Genomic DNA, 15,739 nt, shown 5'->3' on the forward strand with positions numbered 1-15,739 from the left:
CTTCTGTAAACATAACATTTTTTATACAGGATTTTATGATTGAAATGACGGCTTGCAGTTCTTGAATGAGACAGTTTAACAGTGATGTCTTCAAATTCTTGGTAGTCATTATTGATGAGAATTTAGTTCATACAAGTAGGTGATAAAAAAACTTTTAAACAATTTTCACAACAATTCAAAATTTAAAAGTATAAATTATAATTGATAATATATCCACATTATCACAGGGTATTTCCTCGTTACATTTGCCAATGGGAATTTCCCCATCTACCCAAACACTTTTTGTGTCAAGTATCTATTGCAAAATATTGATAAAGGTCTAATTTGCAGAGTTAGATTGTGTTATTAGATCAATAATTCTTCATCTAACTTGAACATAATTAAAAGGGCGCATCAGATATAAACAAAAGGAAGAATGCTATATATATAAAAAGAGAGATCATAAGCTGAGTTCATCAGGAGTACCTAGCAGGCCTCCCTGCATTTCCTGGCCTTATCTGAGGCTGTAAGTCCTGCTCTTTTGGTACCTGGAACATCCTCCAAAGCTCAGTGTTTACAATAGGCAGCAGTGTGTACTACAATTGTCTTGTGAAAGTGATGACCTGGTGGTAGAATACTCCTTGGCTTTGCTTGGCAAGAACTTCATTGTGCTGTCCACCAGTGGGACCATGGGCATACTAGGGTGGGTATTCACACCCTGATTTTGGGGGGCTGCTGAGAATCTCTAGATCACACTGCTTCTTGCCAGGAGTGAATTACCTAGATTTATCAACCACTCCAGTTATTTTAAGTAACTCCTCAGGCTGAATAGATCCCTATCTTGCAATATATCTATAACTCATTCATTGCATACCAAATGAAGTATTTCACTTAAAAGATTATGACTTATATAGCTAAGCTTAAGACAGAGCAAAAAAAAAGTGAGTCAAAAAAAAAGACACAAGAAATCATGGTCCTATCCTTGATAATCCAATCCCTTATATTTGAAACAATTTGGGCATAATTATAAGTATAAATTAATATAGCACAGATATATAAGAGCTGAGAGCAACTGCAGTATTATTGAGTCATGTGTTGCCTTCACTTGGTTGTATTTTTTCTTAAGTTTTATAAAAACTTTAACTTTTACTAACTTCATTTAACTGTGTCCTGACAGGAGACAGAAAGAACACCAGCTTGGGTGGGGTGTGGTGCCTCATGCCTGTAAGTCCAGTACTTTGGGAGGCTGAGGCAGGAGGATTGCATAAGGCTAGGAATTTGAGAGCAGCCTGGGCAGCATAGTAAGACCTCATCTCTCCAAAAAATACCACAATTAGCCAGGTGTGGTGGTACACACCTGCAGTCCTAGCTACTTAGGGGGCTGAGGTGGGAGAATTGCTTGAGCCCAGGAGGTTGAGGTTGCAGTGAGCTATGACTGTGCCATTATACTCCAGCCTGGGTGACAGAGCAAGACCTTGTCTCAAAAAAACAGAAACTCTACCAGTTATTTGCCAAGAAATTTTAACAAAGAATTAATAACTAGATATAAAGTTGTTAAGTAGATACCTAAAAAAGTAAAAAGAGAAATCTGAGGTATCACAATGGTGAGTAATTCATCCCACCTTAAGGGCTAGAAAAAAAAAAACAAACAAACAAAAAACAAGAAAAAACAGAGGAAGCAAAGGGAAAAATTTAGAAATTTAGAGGATTGGCCCCACAGAGCTAAAACTAAGGTCTCTGAAGAGAAAGTGCTGCTCAGCTGGTGTTAGTGCCTCTGAGATTAGAGGAGGGGCTTCATGGCACCCATGGTTCTGAGACACAGACTTCTGAAGCAGGAGCACTGGCTGGCTGGTGGTGGTGCCTTAGAGTAATGAAAATTATAGAACTATAGAAAAACTACTACAAACTGGATTCAGCTGTTGCTACAAAAAGGAAATGCTGCTACCAGGATGAAGAAGCATTACTAGGTGAACCACACAGGAACCAAAAGGCCACAAGAAGCAGTCAGGGAAAAAGTGGCACATATACACCATGGAATACTATGCAGCCATAAAAAAGGATGAGTTCATGTCCTTTGTAGGGACATGGATGAAGCTGGAAACCATCATTCTGAGCAAACGATCGCAAGGACAAAAAACCAAACACCTCATGTTCTCACTCATAGGTGGGAATTGAACAATGAGAACACTTGGACACAGGAAGGGGAATATCACACACTGGGGCCTGTCGTGGGGTCGGGGGAGAGGGGAGGGATAGCATTAGGAGATATACCTAATGTAAATGATGAGTTAATGGGTGCAGCACACCAACATGGCACATGTATACATACATAACAAACCTGCACGTTGTGCACATGTACCCTAGAACTTAAAGTATAATAATAATAAAAAAAGAAGCAATCGGGATAGACAAGAAGGAGCAAGTCTCTTGTCTTCCCTTCAGGTATGGGATGTCCCTCTGGTGCCCCCAGTTAGCACAGTATAACAAAGCCAGCTGGCAAGGCAAAAGAAATGTGATTTTCAGGGTCTCAGCTTTAGCAACAAAGAAGAGTAAAAATGGGTGAATTTGGAGATGAGACAATAATTTAATAACTGGCACTTGATTGATAGGGAAATTGATGCCAGAATGGAATTTATTTCCCATCCTCTGGTTTGCATATATCTCTTAAAGACAGTTAAAGACCTTGCTACTTCCTGCTCCTCGGATACAATCAGCATACTTTCATCAATGTGATGCTGACTGGGAAGTCAAGATGCTCAATATCTCTGTAGACTATATTATGGCAGAGAGCTAGAGAAATGATGTAGCCCTGAGCAAGACTGTGAAGGGATATTGTTGGCCCTGCCAAGTAAAACCAAACTGCTTCAGGTGTTTCTTGCCAATTTATATGGAGAAATAAGCATTTTTCTGGGACAATAGCTACATACCAGGTGTCAAGGACTGTGTTGATTTGCTCCAATAAAGATACTACGTATGGAAGAGGAGGTGCAAGTGGAGGCATAATCTGATAAAATTTACAGTAATCCACAGTCATTCTCCAAGATCCATCCACCTTCTTCACAGGCCAAACAGGCAAGTTAAATTGGTGTGAGGTAGCTTTCATCACTCCTGCTTCTTTATTTATTTATTTTTTTTTTGAGACTCCTGTCGCCCAGGCTGGAGTGCAGTGGTGCAATCTCGGCTCACTGCAACCTCCGCCTCCCAGGTTCAAGTGATTCTCCTACCTCAGCCTCCCAAGTAGCTGGGATTACAGGCATGTGCCACCACGCCCGGCTAATTTTCATATTTTTAGTAGAGACGGGGTTTCACCATGTTGACCAGGCTGGTCTCAAACTCCTGACCTCAGGTGATCCACCCGCCTCAGCCTCCCAAAGTGCTAGGATTACAGGCATGAGACACTGTGCCCAGCCTCACTCCTGCTTCTTTCAGATCTTTACCGGTTTCATTAATCTTTGTAATCCCCCATCCTCCCAACCCCAAGGAAGCAATATTTTTGTTTACTGTCCTGGTGTGTTTGAAGGGAGTTTGAGGGGAGGTTTTCAAAGGCTTCCACTTGGCCCTTCCTACTATAATAGTCCTTATTCCAGAGTCAGAGAAAGGATATAGAGATCCTGCCAGTTACCAGTATCTCTGTTCTAATTATATATTCAGGGACTGATGAAATCACCACAGGGTGGTTCTATAGCCCTACTAAACCACTGTGATTCAAACTTGAGTTAAGACTCCATCTGGCCACCGCAAACCCCCACTTAACCTTATGGACTGAAGTGGTATTTTGGATCCCCAGGATTAACATCAGTTTAGAATCAGTGTTTAGATATCTCTGAAAAACCTGGATATTCCTTTTCCCTAGCACAAAGCCATTTTAGGAAATGGCCATCAATCTCTGTGGAAAAGACTTAGAGGAAGATTTTTCAGTATATACTAGTGGCAATGCTACAGAGCTCTTTCTCAAAGGGACCCACCTTTCAATTAAGGAACTGGGTGAGAGGTTGGAATTCTCCATTGTGGTGACTAAAATTATATTTTTGGCCCTCATACAGGCAGACCTGGGAGATATTTTGGGTTTGGTTCCAGACCACTACAATAAAGAGAACATCACAATAAAGTGGTCACATGAAGTTTTGGTTTCCCAATGCATATATAAAAGTTATATTTATACTATAGTCTATTAAGTGTGCAGTAGGATTATGTCTAAAAAATGTGCATATCTTAATTTAAAAATACTTTTTTGCTAAAAAATGCTAACAATCGTATGAGCCTTTATCCACTCAAAATCTTTTTGCTGATGCAGGATCTTGCCTCGATGTTGATAGATGATAACTGATCAGAGTAGTGGTTGCTGAAGGCTAGCATGGCTGTGAAAATATCTTAAATTAAGACAATTGAGTTTGCCACATTGATTGACTCTTCCTGTCTTGGATAATTTCTCTGTAACATTTGATGCTGTTTGATAACTTTTTACCCACAGTGGAACTTCTTTCAAAATTAGTCAGTCCTGTCATATCCTACCACTGCTTCAACAACTAAGTTTATGTAGTATTCTAAATCCTTTGTTGTCATTTCAATGATGTTCACAGTGTCTTCACCAGGAGTGATTCCACCTCAAGAAACTGCTTTCTTTGCCCATCTATAAGAAGACACTCCTCATTCATTCAAGTTTTATCATGAGATTGCAGCAATTTAGTCACATCTTCAGGCCTCACTTCTAATTCTAGTTCTTTTGCTATTTCCATTACATCTGCAGTTACTTCCTCCACTGAAGTCCTGGGGCCCTCAAAGTCATCCATGAGGGTTGGAATCAACTTCTTCCAAACTCTGTTAATGCTGATATTTTGACTTCCTTCCATGAATCACAAATGTTCTTAATGACATCTAGAATGGTGAATCCTTTCAAGAAGGTTTTCAATTTACTTTGCCCAAATCCATCAGAATCATCACTGTCTATGGAAGCTATAGCCTTATGAAATGTATTTCTTAAGCAAGACTTGAAAGTTTAAATTGGTCTTTGATCCATGGGCTGCAGAATGGATTCTGTGTTGACAGGCGTGGGAACAACATTAATTACCTTGTACATTTCCATCAGAGCTCTTAGGTGACCAAGTACACTGTCAATGAACAGTAATATTTTGAAAGGAATCAATTTTCCTGAGCAGTAGATCTCAAGGGTGTATTTAAAATATTCCTTAAGCCATACTGTAAACAAATGTGCTGTCATCCAGACTTTGTTGTTCCATTTATAGAGTACAGGCAGAATAGATTTAGCATAATTCTTAAGGGTTAAGATTTTTGAAATGATAAATGAGCATTGGTTTCAACTTAAAGTCACCAGCTGCATTAGCCCCAAACAAGAGAGTGAGCCTATCCTTTGAAGCTTTGAAGCCAGACGTTGACTTCTCTCCAGCTATGAAATCCTAGATAGCATCTTCTTCCAATAGAAGGCTGTTTAGTCTGCATGGAAAATCCATTGTTTAGTGTAGCCACCTTCATTGACGATCTTAGTTATATCTTTTGGGTAACTTGCTGCAACTTCTACATCAGCACTTGCAGCTTCACCTTGCACTTTTAAGTTATGGAGATGTCTTCTTTCCTTAAACCCCATGAATCAACTTCTGATAATTTTCAGCTTTTCCTCTGCAGCTTTCTCACCTCTCTCAGCCTTCACAGAATTGAAGAGAAGTTAGGGCCTTGCTCTGGATTGGGCTTTGGCTTAAGGGAATGTTGTAGCTGATTTGATCTTCTATCCAGACCACTAACACTTTGTCCATATCAGCATATCTGCTATATGAATTCTTCAAACACTTTTTGAACCTTGAGTGTTTGTTCCTTCTGCTTCAAATTTCTTACTAGTCTTTTACTATCCAGCTTCCTTTGTGAAAATGTCCCTAACTACCCTGGGAAAATTAACTGCTTATTTCTCTGTTCCTTAACATTTTGTGTGTACCTCTACTCTTGCACTTTGCAGATTGAATTGCATCTCTTTCCCTCACTGAACTGGGAACTCTTTTTTTTTTTTTTGAGATGGAGTTTCGCTCATTGCCGAGGCTGGAGTGCAATGGCATGATCTTGGCTCGCTGCAACCTCCGCCTCCCGGGTTCAAGCCATTTTCCTGCCTCAGCCTCCTGCGTAGCTGGGATCACAGGCACCTGCCAACACACCCAGCTACTTTTTTGTATTTTTAGTAGAGACAGGGTTTCACTATGTTGGCTAGGCTCGTCTCGAACTCCTGACCTCAGGTGATCCACCCGCCTTGGCCTCCCAAAGTGCTGGGATTACAAGCGTGAGCCCCTGCGCCCGGACTAAACTGGGAACTCTTTAAGGCAGGTCTTATTCATCCTTTTAAGACCTAACCTTTGCCTGCATATAGAAAGCACCTAATAAAGTCTTATTGAGTTGAATTTATCTGAGTGCATCCAAACCAAATAGATTTTAAAAGAAATGGAAGGAAGCTTCTCAGCAATTTCAGGAGATGGACACCATAAGCAAAGAAATGAGGCTGTTGAGAATATACAGTTGGGAGCTATCACATAAATTTATTTTCTATTATTTATTATTTATTAAGTGAGTCAAAAAGACTTTGAGGCAGCTATTTTTAAATGTTGGAAACTCTTCTCTCCAAAGGCAGTACTTTTGGTTTATTTAGCTAGAACATGTGTTATGTTGATAAAAAGAAAAGGGAATGGCCGGGTGCGGTGCCTCACACCTGTAATCCCAGCACTTTCGGAGGCTGAGGAGGGTGGATCACTTGAGGTCAGGAGTTCAAGACCAGCCTGGCCAACATGGTGAAACCCTGTCTCTACTAAATGTACAAAAATTAGCCAGGCATGGTGGTGAGCACCTGTAGTCCCAGCTACTCGGGAGGCTGAGGCAGGAGAATCACTTGAACCCAGGAGGCGGAGGTTGCAGTGAGCCGAGATTGCACCACTGTACTCCAGCCCGGGCGACAGAATGAGACTCTGTAAAAAAAAAAAAGAAAAGAAAGAAAAGTGAATACGCTAGAGCATTAGATACATACTATTTCAAATTAGAGTCTCTAGACTGTAACTGTCCTGGAGGCAGACTGTGTGAATATAATTTACTCTTTACACAACACCTAGCTCATATATATACAAACTCTTAAATGATTTTTGGCATGGCAGTGATTTGATAATCTGTGAATCTACAGTCATTTGCAGTAAAGTGGGGATCTGGTAATTATTTATTTTAATACCTCAATATAAATGAATAAACCAGATAAGTCACATTCCTCTGGAATTCTCCCTTCCCAAAAAAATGCCTTTTGAGATATTATTATTCTATTCTCTATCTACCTTTCTTGCATGAATTAGGTAGCCATAAAAGTTTCACTTTACCTCACCTTGTTATCTCAAAAATTAATGAGGATGACAATCACGTTAAAAATGCAATTGCATTACTGCTGCTGTATTTTTTTTTTAATGATAGTAGTAATGATTACTATGGTGAGTTTTCTTGTCTCCCTGAGCAATGATCTAGCTTTGGTCAGTAGCAACAGTCATAACAGTAATACAGTTGGAAAAGTTCAGCAGTTGAGAATTTATCATTCAATAGAATTGTGGGGTGAGGTGAGGGCAGGAGTGAGGGAGCTTTTTTAACTTCTGGAGTACTTTGTGATGTTTATTAATATTTTCTTTCTTTTTGTTATTAATACTGGTCTAGTAATATTCTTCTATACCATTTGGTGATAACTTTTGGAGTCCAAATGAATGAGTCAGCATCTCAAGAGGAACTCAGACCTGCTCAGGTTCTTGTCCTACATAGGTTTATCACATTTATGGGAAGATTTGAGATTCAACATTCTTGGGAAAATTGAGATGCAATATCACAGTCTATCATTTAATTATTTCTCTTTTTGGTTGAAGTATTCTGCATCAGGTTTTGACAGAAATGCTGTAAAAGGGGTCAAAATAACAGTTGAGTCATGGCGACCTGCTTCTAGTTGGTTGGCATTCCTTGACTATATATAAAAGTCTGTTATTGTTTGAATTTGTTGATACAACTACTTTGTGTAATTTTATTTCACATGATATTTACTCATTATGTGAAATTTTTAAAAATTAAAAGCTTACTGTATTAAAGTATGAGACAGTAGTTTAATCCACAGCTCTTTTTGGATGCCATTTACTAACACTGTTTGCATTTCAGGAAAACAGAAAAGAAGACAAAGAGAGGAAATGGAACTTAACTGAAGTGAAAGAGCTTCATGAGGTAGAGTTGGCATGAATAAATCAGATATTAATGCTGGAGAATAAGCTAGATAAATCAATTTTCTTATGATAAAAGAAAAGATGTGGGTATTCAAAAAGATAACTAAAATTGCAAAAGGAAAAGGACAAACTCATGTTGATTATTAAGCTGATTCATTTGAGTAAGTTGCAGGAAACTTCCATGGACAGGTAAATTATTTGTGAAGAACTGTTATAAATTACAGATAAATAAAGACTGCTTTCTAAAGTTACCCTAAAAACTGTAACCACCAGCTTTTAGGGTCACTTTACTATCATGCTGAAAATGTAATTTCCAGGTTAATCATTTAAGTAACTTTGTGTTTAAATAAATACAAGGCTACAATAAAGAAGAACGTTTCATAGAAAAGGGGAGGCAATTAAAAATAGTCCTATAGATTCACAAGTGAGTTGACTAATATGAGTTTTTAAAATATCCTATTGATTGTCGATGGCTCACACTTGTAATCCCAGCACTCTGGGAGACCGAGGTGGATCACTTGAGGTCAGGAGTTCAAGACCGGACTGGCCAACATAGCGAAACTCCATCTCTACTAATAATACAAAAATTATCTGGGCTTGGTGGTGCATGCGTGTAATCCTAGCAACTTGAAAGGCCAAGGCAAGATAATCACTTTAACCCAGGAGGCGGAGGTTGCAGTGAGCCGAGATCATGCCACTGCACTCCAGCCTGGGCAACAGAGTGAAACTGCATCTCCAAAATATATATATATATATATATATAGTCAGATTTTTAAAGTACATTAGCATGTATACAAAAACTATTTTGTTGCTATTCATAAAATTAATCTTTAATTTCCTCAATTAAGATTAAATGCTTTTTCTTTTTGCCACAAATACAGAAAGTGATTCTAGTAGTAAAACAGTAGCATTTCCAAAGGTCTGATTTCCTTATGCTATGGTCTCAAATCATGTTTCTATAAACTATTGTATAATTCAAGAATTAATGTACATCTAAAATGATATTCCTAGCATATTACTTTGTTAGTAACAGGAAGATGTGATGACATTTTGAACCAACACATTTTATCTTGTAAATGCAGAAAATACACTGTGATTACCTCTTTGCTTCTAATATACAGCATTAGATCCCAGAAAAATTAACTAGGAATGTTTGGTTAACTCTTACAAAGCAATTAACTTTCCTTTAATTGGAATAATTTATACAACTTTGTTGAAAATCAAGTCACATTGAAATTGGTGATTTTTTTCCTCTTTTCAAAGACCTTACAGAGTGTGCCAGACGTTCCTGTAAAAGAGGACACCAACAGTGTGGTGGAGAAAGCAATGGATGAAATCAAATCCCAAGGTAGAGAACTAGCCTTTCTCTTATACAATAGAATCTAAAACTGGCTGGGCGTGGTGGCTCATGCCTGTAATTCCAGCACTTTGGGAGGCCGAGGCGGGTGGATCATCAGAGGTCAGGAGTTCGAAACCAGCCTGGCCAACATGGTGAAACACCATCTCTTCTAAAAATACAAAAAATTAGCTGGGCATAGTGGCGGGTGCCTGTAATCCCAGCTACTCTGGAGGCTGAGGCAGGAGAATTGCGTGAACAGGGAGGTGGGGGTTGCAGTGAGCCAAGCTCGTGGATTGCACTCCAGCCTGGGTGACAGAGCGAAACTCCATCTCAAAAAAATAAATAAATAAAAGAATCTAAAACTATCATTAACATTTTACTGGGGATGCGTTCTTCAAGATTTTGCATTTTAAAGATATAATTTCAGGGGATATTTTATTTTATTTTTATTTTTAGAGATGGATCTTGCCCTGTACCTAGACTGAAGTTCAGTGACACGGTCATAGTTCACTGCAGATTCAAAGTCCTGGGTTCAAGTGATCCTCCTATCTCAGCCTCCAGAGTTGCTGGGACTATGGGCACACATTACCTCACCTAGCTAGTTTTTTATTTTTTATTTTTGTAGAGAGAATTTCTTGCTATGTTTCCTGGGCTGGTCTCGATCTCCTGGACTCAGGCGATCCTCCTGTCTCAGCCTCCAGAGTCACTGAGATTATAGGCCAGAGGGTATTTTAAATGCAGTTTGGGAAACAATTTAAAATGTATTTCATTCACCTTCTATTAATGCTTTTGAGGCAATTTATGATTATTCATCTTGCACTTAAAGAGAAAATTTATCTAAGAAAGCTGACTGACATCTAGCAGGCAACCCACTAATACAATAATAAAATGAAGAACTCCAGTGATTTGGGCTGCTTATTGTCCTTGGCCCTGTTTATTGTTTTTGGGTTTTGTTGTTGTTTTTTTGTTGTTTTCTGTTTTGTTTTGTTTTTTTTTTTTTGAGACGAAGTTTTGCGCTTGTTGCCCAGGGCAGAGTGCAATGGTGCAATCTCGGCTCACTGCAACCTCAGCCTCCCGGGTTCAAGCGATTCTCCAGCCTCAGCCTCCCGAGTAGCTGGGATTACAAGCACGTGCCATCACACCCGGCTAAGTTTGTATTTTTAATAGAGATGGGGTTTCCCAATGTTGGCCAGGCTGGTCTCAAACTCCCAACCTCAGGTGATCTGCCTGCCTTGGCCTACCAAAGTGTTGGGATTACAAGTATGAGCCACTGTGCCCGGCCAACACTGTTTACTGTTTTTACTCCTGTACTTGACCACATATTTATTCCGTTTGATCCAAAGCTTGACTCCTAGCCCCATCCTTAACCCAAATTCCACATAATTATGCAGATTGAAAATTTATAGGATTAAAAAGTCTTCAAAAAAGTAGAGAAGACATTCATCTCTTTCATTACAGCTCTTTTAACTCCAAATACTTAGTGAAATCCATACCACCAGAAATTCTTTACAATATTTAAAATTTAATAATTTTACTATAATTTTTCTTCAATTTACCAGTATTGAATGTTTAGTATACGCTAGGCTGAGCTAGGACTGAAGTATAGCAATATCAAAGTGTTTTCTAAACTATAAATTGATATATAGATGTTAGTTGTAATTTTTAGGTGCTGGGTTTTTTTTTTTCCCCAAAGTGTTCTTCTCTCTTTTTAAACCAACTAAGAGTAATTATTTACTATTTCTTCCTAGTAATACACATTACAATACATATTCATTAAAACCCGAACTTGCACTTGTTGTGGTGGCTTATGCCTGTAATCCCAGGACTTTGGGAGGCTGAGATGGGAGGATCATTTGAGGTCAGGAGTTCGAGACCAGCCTGGGCAACACAGCAAGACCCAATCTCTAAAAAACAATTTTTTTTAAGAGAAAAAAAAAGGAACCAAACTTTCCTTCAAATTATACTACAAGGCTATAGTTCCTGAAATAGCATGGTACTGGTATAAAAGTAGACACACAGACATAATAGAGAACCCAGAAATAAAACCAAATACCTACAACCAAACTTGACAAAGCACACAGAAACATAAACTGGGGAAAGGATACTCTATTTAATAAATGTTGCTGGGGAAATTGGCTAGCTACATGTAGAAGAATGAAACTGCATCCCTATCTCTCACCTTATACAAAAATCAACTCAGTATGCATCAAAAACTTAAATCTAAGACCTGAAACCTTAAAATTCTATAAAATAACCTAGGAAAAACTCTTTTGGACATTGGCTTAGGCAAAGAATTTATAATGAAGACTCCAAAAGCAAATGCAATAAAACAAAAAATAAATAAATGGGACCTAATTCAACTGAAAAGCTTCTGTACAGCAAAAGAAATAACCATCAGACTAAACTGACAACCCACAGAATGGAAGAAAATATTTGCCATGTGTCCAACAAAGAACTAATATCCAGAATCTACAAAGAAACAAATCAGCAAGAAGAAAAAAATAATTATCCCATCAAAAAGTGGGCAAATGACATGAACAGACATTTCTCAAAAGAATATATACAAATGGCCAATGAACATGTGAAAAAGTGCTGAACATCACTAATCATCAGGAAAATGCAAATTAAAACCACGATGAAATACTACCTTACTCCTGCAAGAAGGATCATTATTAAAATGTCAAAAAACAATAGATGTTGGCATGGATATGGTGAAAAGCTAATGCTTGTACACTGCTGGTGGGAATGTAAATTAGTATAACCTTTATGGAAAAGAGTATGGAAATTTCTTTTTTTTTTTTTTTTTTTTTTTTTGAGACAGAGTCTCGCTCTGTCACCCAGGCTGGAGTGCAGTGGCATGATCTTGGCTGACTGCAAGCTCCGCCTCCCAGGTTCACGCCATTCTCCTGCCTCAGCCTCCCAAGTAATTGGGACTTCAGGCACCTGCCACCAAGCCTGGCTAATTTTTTCTATTTTTTTAGTAGAGACTGGGTTTCACCATGTTGGGCAGGATGGTCTCGATCTCCTGACCTCGTGATCCACCCGCCTTGGCCTCCCATAGTGCTGGGATTACAGGCGTGAGCCACCACGCCCGGCTGAGTATGGAAATTTCTTAAAGACCTAAAAGTAGATCTACCATTCAATCTAGCAGCCCCACTACTGGGTATCTACCCAAAAGAAAATAAGTCATTATATTAAAAAGACACCTGCATATGTATGTTTATTGCAGCACAATTCACACTTGCAAAGATATGGAACCAACCTAAGTGCCCACCAACCAATGAGTGGATAAACAGCACTTCGGAAGGCCAAGGTGGGCAGATCACAAGGTCAAGAGATCGAGACCATCCTGGTGAAACCCCGTCTGTACTAAAAATACAAAAATTAGCTGGGTGTGGTGGCAGGTGCCTGTAGTCCCAGTTACTTGGGAGGCTGAGGCAGGAGAATTGCTTGAACCCAGGAGGCAGAGGTTGCAGTGAGCTGAGATCACGCCACTGCACTCCAGCCTGACAACAGAGCGAGACTCCATCTCAAAAAAAAAAAAAAAGAAAAAGAAAATGTGGTATATATACACCATGGAATATTACTCAGCCATAAAAAAGAATGAAATGATATCTTTTCCAACGACTTGGATGGAGCTGAAGGCCATTATTCTAAGTGAAGTAACTCAAGAATGGAAAGTCAAATACCATCTGTTCTCACTTAGAAGTGGGAGCTAAGCTATGGGTATGCAAAGACATGCCGAGCGATATAATGGGCTATGGAGACTCAGAAGTGGGAGGGTGGAAGGAGGGGCAAGGGATTTAAAAAAACTGCATATTGGGTACAATGTATACTACTCAGGTGATGGGTGCACTAAAATCTCAGACTTCACCACTATACAATTCATCCATGTAACCAAAAATCACTTGTACCCCTGAAAATTTAAAATTTTTTTTTAAAAGAACCAAACTTTCCAACACTTATTCTGTCTTTCTTATAAACTTAGTACTGTTTTCACAGCTTCACTAACTTCTAAAAATTTTCTTCCTGGCAAGTCTTTACTTATCCTCTTCTACCTGTCCCCACCTCCTGTTTTTCTGATTTTACTTCCTTATGCCAAACATCTACCACCAACACCACATACATATACTTTGCCTTTACCTTAATCGCTTGGGCCAGGTTTATAAATTAACTCATTCATTTTATTTTATTTTATTTTTTGAGATGGAGTCTTGCTCTGTCGTCCAGGCTGGAGTGCAGTGGCGCAATCTCAGCTCACTGCAACCTCCGCCTCCCGAGTTCAAACGATTCTCATGCCTCAGCCTCCCAAATAGCTGGGATTGCAGCCATCTGCCACTCTGCCCATCTAATTTTTGTATTTTTAGTAGAGACGGGGTTTCACCATGTTGGCCAGGCTGGTCTCAAACTCCTGACCTCAGGTGATCCGCCCACCTCGGCCTCCCAAAGTGCTGGGATTACAGGCTTGAGCCACCGCGCCTGGCCTAAATTAACTCATTCATTTTAAAAATGCCAAACAGAATTTTGATATAGGTAATTTGTTATAAATTTAATTAGATGTTCACTTTAATTAGTTTGTGGCCATATTTGCACCTACAAAACTGTACATATGTATTCCATCAGGTAATTTTTCACCTCCCCAGAAAACATATCAAGCAAGAGTTTGTGGTCTTTCCTCTTCTTCTACTTTCAATTTCTCTTATTGCTTTTCAATGTATGGTAGAGAGAAATGTGTTTTGTTTAAATCGATTTATCCCAGTATATGATATGTACTGAAAACATTGCAGTTGCTTATTCTGATATCAAACACAATGCGGTGTACTTATTTATTAAATAATCATTATTTATGATTATTAAAACTTTTTACTCTAAATCCCTCATTTGTGAATGTGTGTGTGTGTGTGGGTATATACAAAGTAGGAAGAGGAACTGTTACTGCAATTTCAACAGGTCAAAGGAAGTGTCTTCATCCTTGTTACATACTTGTCAAAATTAAAGTCATGTTATCTTGATAAGCAGCTCCCAACATGCACTCAAATACATATCGTTGCATAGAAAATACTGTGGTTAAATATATCATGTCAGTTCCTCATTTCTTTACCCTTGTTTTTCTACTTTTCAGGCTGAGCTTAACTTGCATTTTGAGAATTTTTTTTAACTATCAGTTTGCTCAGTTATATTCTTATTACACAGCCCTAAGATTAAGAGTGTTTTGTAGGAAACTGCCTTTTCCTTTATCTATTGAATTTTAATTCCAGTGGTGTTTAGTAGTACTTCTTTACCTCCTTCCTTTGCAGCAGTCATTCTACATCATGTGCCAATGTTAAGAAATCCTGATAATAAGGACAAAGCCGCTGAGTTTCAAACAGGGCCTGTGTTTAAAGAAAACATCATACAGCTTAAGTAGCCCTGCTGGGTCAATTTTCACCAGTTTAATCAGCAGCCAGACCCACTAATGTTATATGCCTCCTTGTGAAGAAAGAGCCTGCTAAGACTTATTACAATATGAATTATAATTCATTCCTATTTATGTCCTTAAATAGGCTTTGTACTGAGGCTCTGCCCAGCAGTGGACCATACACTGAGAGCTGAAAATGATAAAAGTCATTATAAGGCTAGACTTTTCAAAATATGTACAAGGAATTCTTTTGTGTCCCTACTTATTTAGTTGAAAGCACTTATACTCATAGTGCCTGGATAGTTCTTTTTATATTAGAAGGTAGACCACTAGAGTGGCGAAGATGTACATATTGGGGGCAGAGCTTGAAAGGCTCTTGATTCTTGGAAAAGTTTAGGAAGATGATCCTGAAAAAGAATTCCAGTGCCTGGCACGCAGTGAGAAATTAATAGTTATTTATTGAGTCAGTATATAAATGAATTAATCAATCAATCTTAAAAGGTTTAGGATGTCCAACCAGAGACCTGCTAAAAAATCCAGTACATCTTTGAAACTATTCAGTTAAACCTCTGAATTAAATTGCCCTTGGGGCAGTGCTGTAATTTGTGATCCATGAATTCAGAGGTCACTCAGTCAAAAGACAGCTTCATATAGGCTTGTTCAGAATCCTGATTTGTTGACCCTGCTGTTGCTGTGCTTCTTTTTCTTGTTTTTGTGGTTCTAAGAGAGAAGTGTTTGACTACAGTGGTAACCAAACACATGTCTACTTCCATTCTGTACATCAGTGGGGACAATGCA

The 15,739-nt window shown here is 38.7% G+C and overlaps 1 protein-coding gene across 14 annotated transcripts in view; it reads left to right on the top strand.

The window, feature by feature from the left end:
- The window catches only part of EFCAB5 (EF-hand calcium binding domain 5), a 178,550-nt gene that overhangs the window by 4,195 nt on the left and 158,616 nt on the right, over positions 1-15,739 (top strand). For 9 of the 14 annotated variants that reach the window (NR_026738.2, XM_011524759.2, XM_011524765.2 and 6 more), the window contains exons 1-3: positions 7,537-7,741; positions 8,143-8,205; positions 9,468-9,552. Coding sequence is in view for 12 of the 14 variants with exons in the window: in XM_011524759.2 (XP_011523061.1) it covers positions 7,700-7,741; positions 8,143-8,205; positions 9,468-9,552 (190 nt within the window). In the remaining 2 variants the exon portion in view is untranslated. Of the gene's footprint in view, positions 1-7,536; positions 7,742-8,142; positions 8,206-9,467; positions 9,553-15,739 lie in introns of those variants that run through there. The other 5 variants (XM_024450742.1, XM_024450743.1, XM_047435947.1 and 2 more) reach the window with 2 other exon arrangements.

This window comes from Homo sapiens, chromosome 17 (assembly GCF_000001405.40).
Source record: "Homo sapiens chromosome 17, GRCh38.p14 Primary Assembly".
Lineage (NCBI taxonomy): Eukaryota > Metazoa > Chordata > Mammalia > Primates > Hominidae > Homo > Homo sapiens.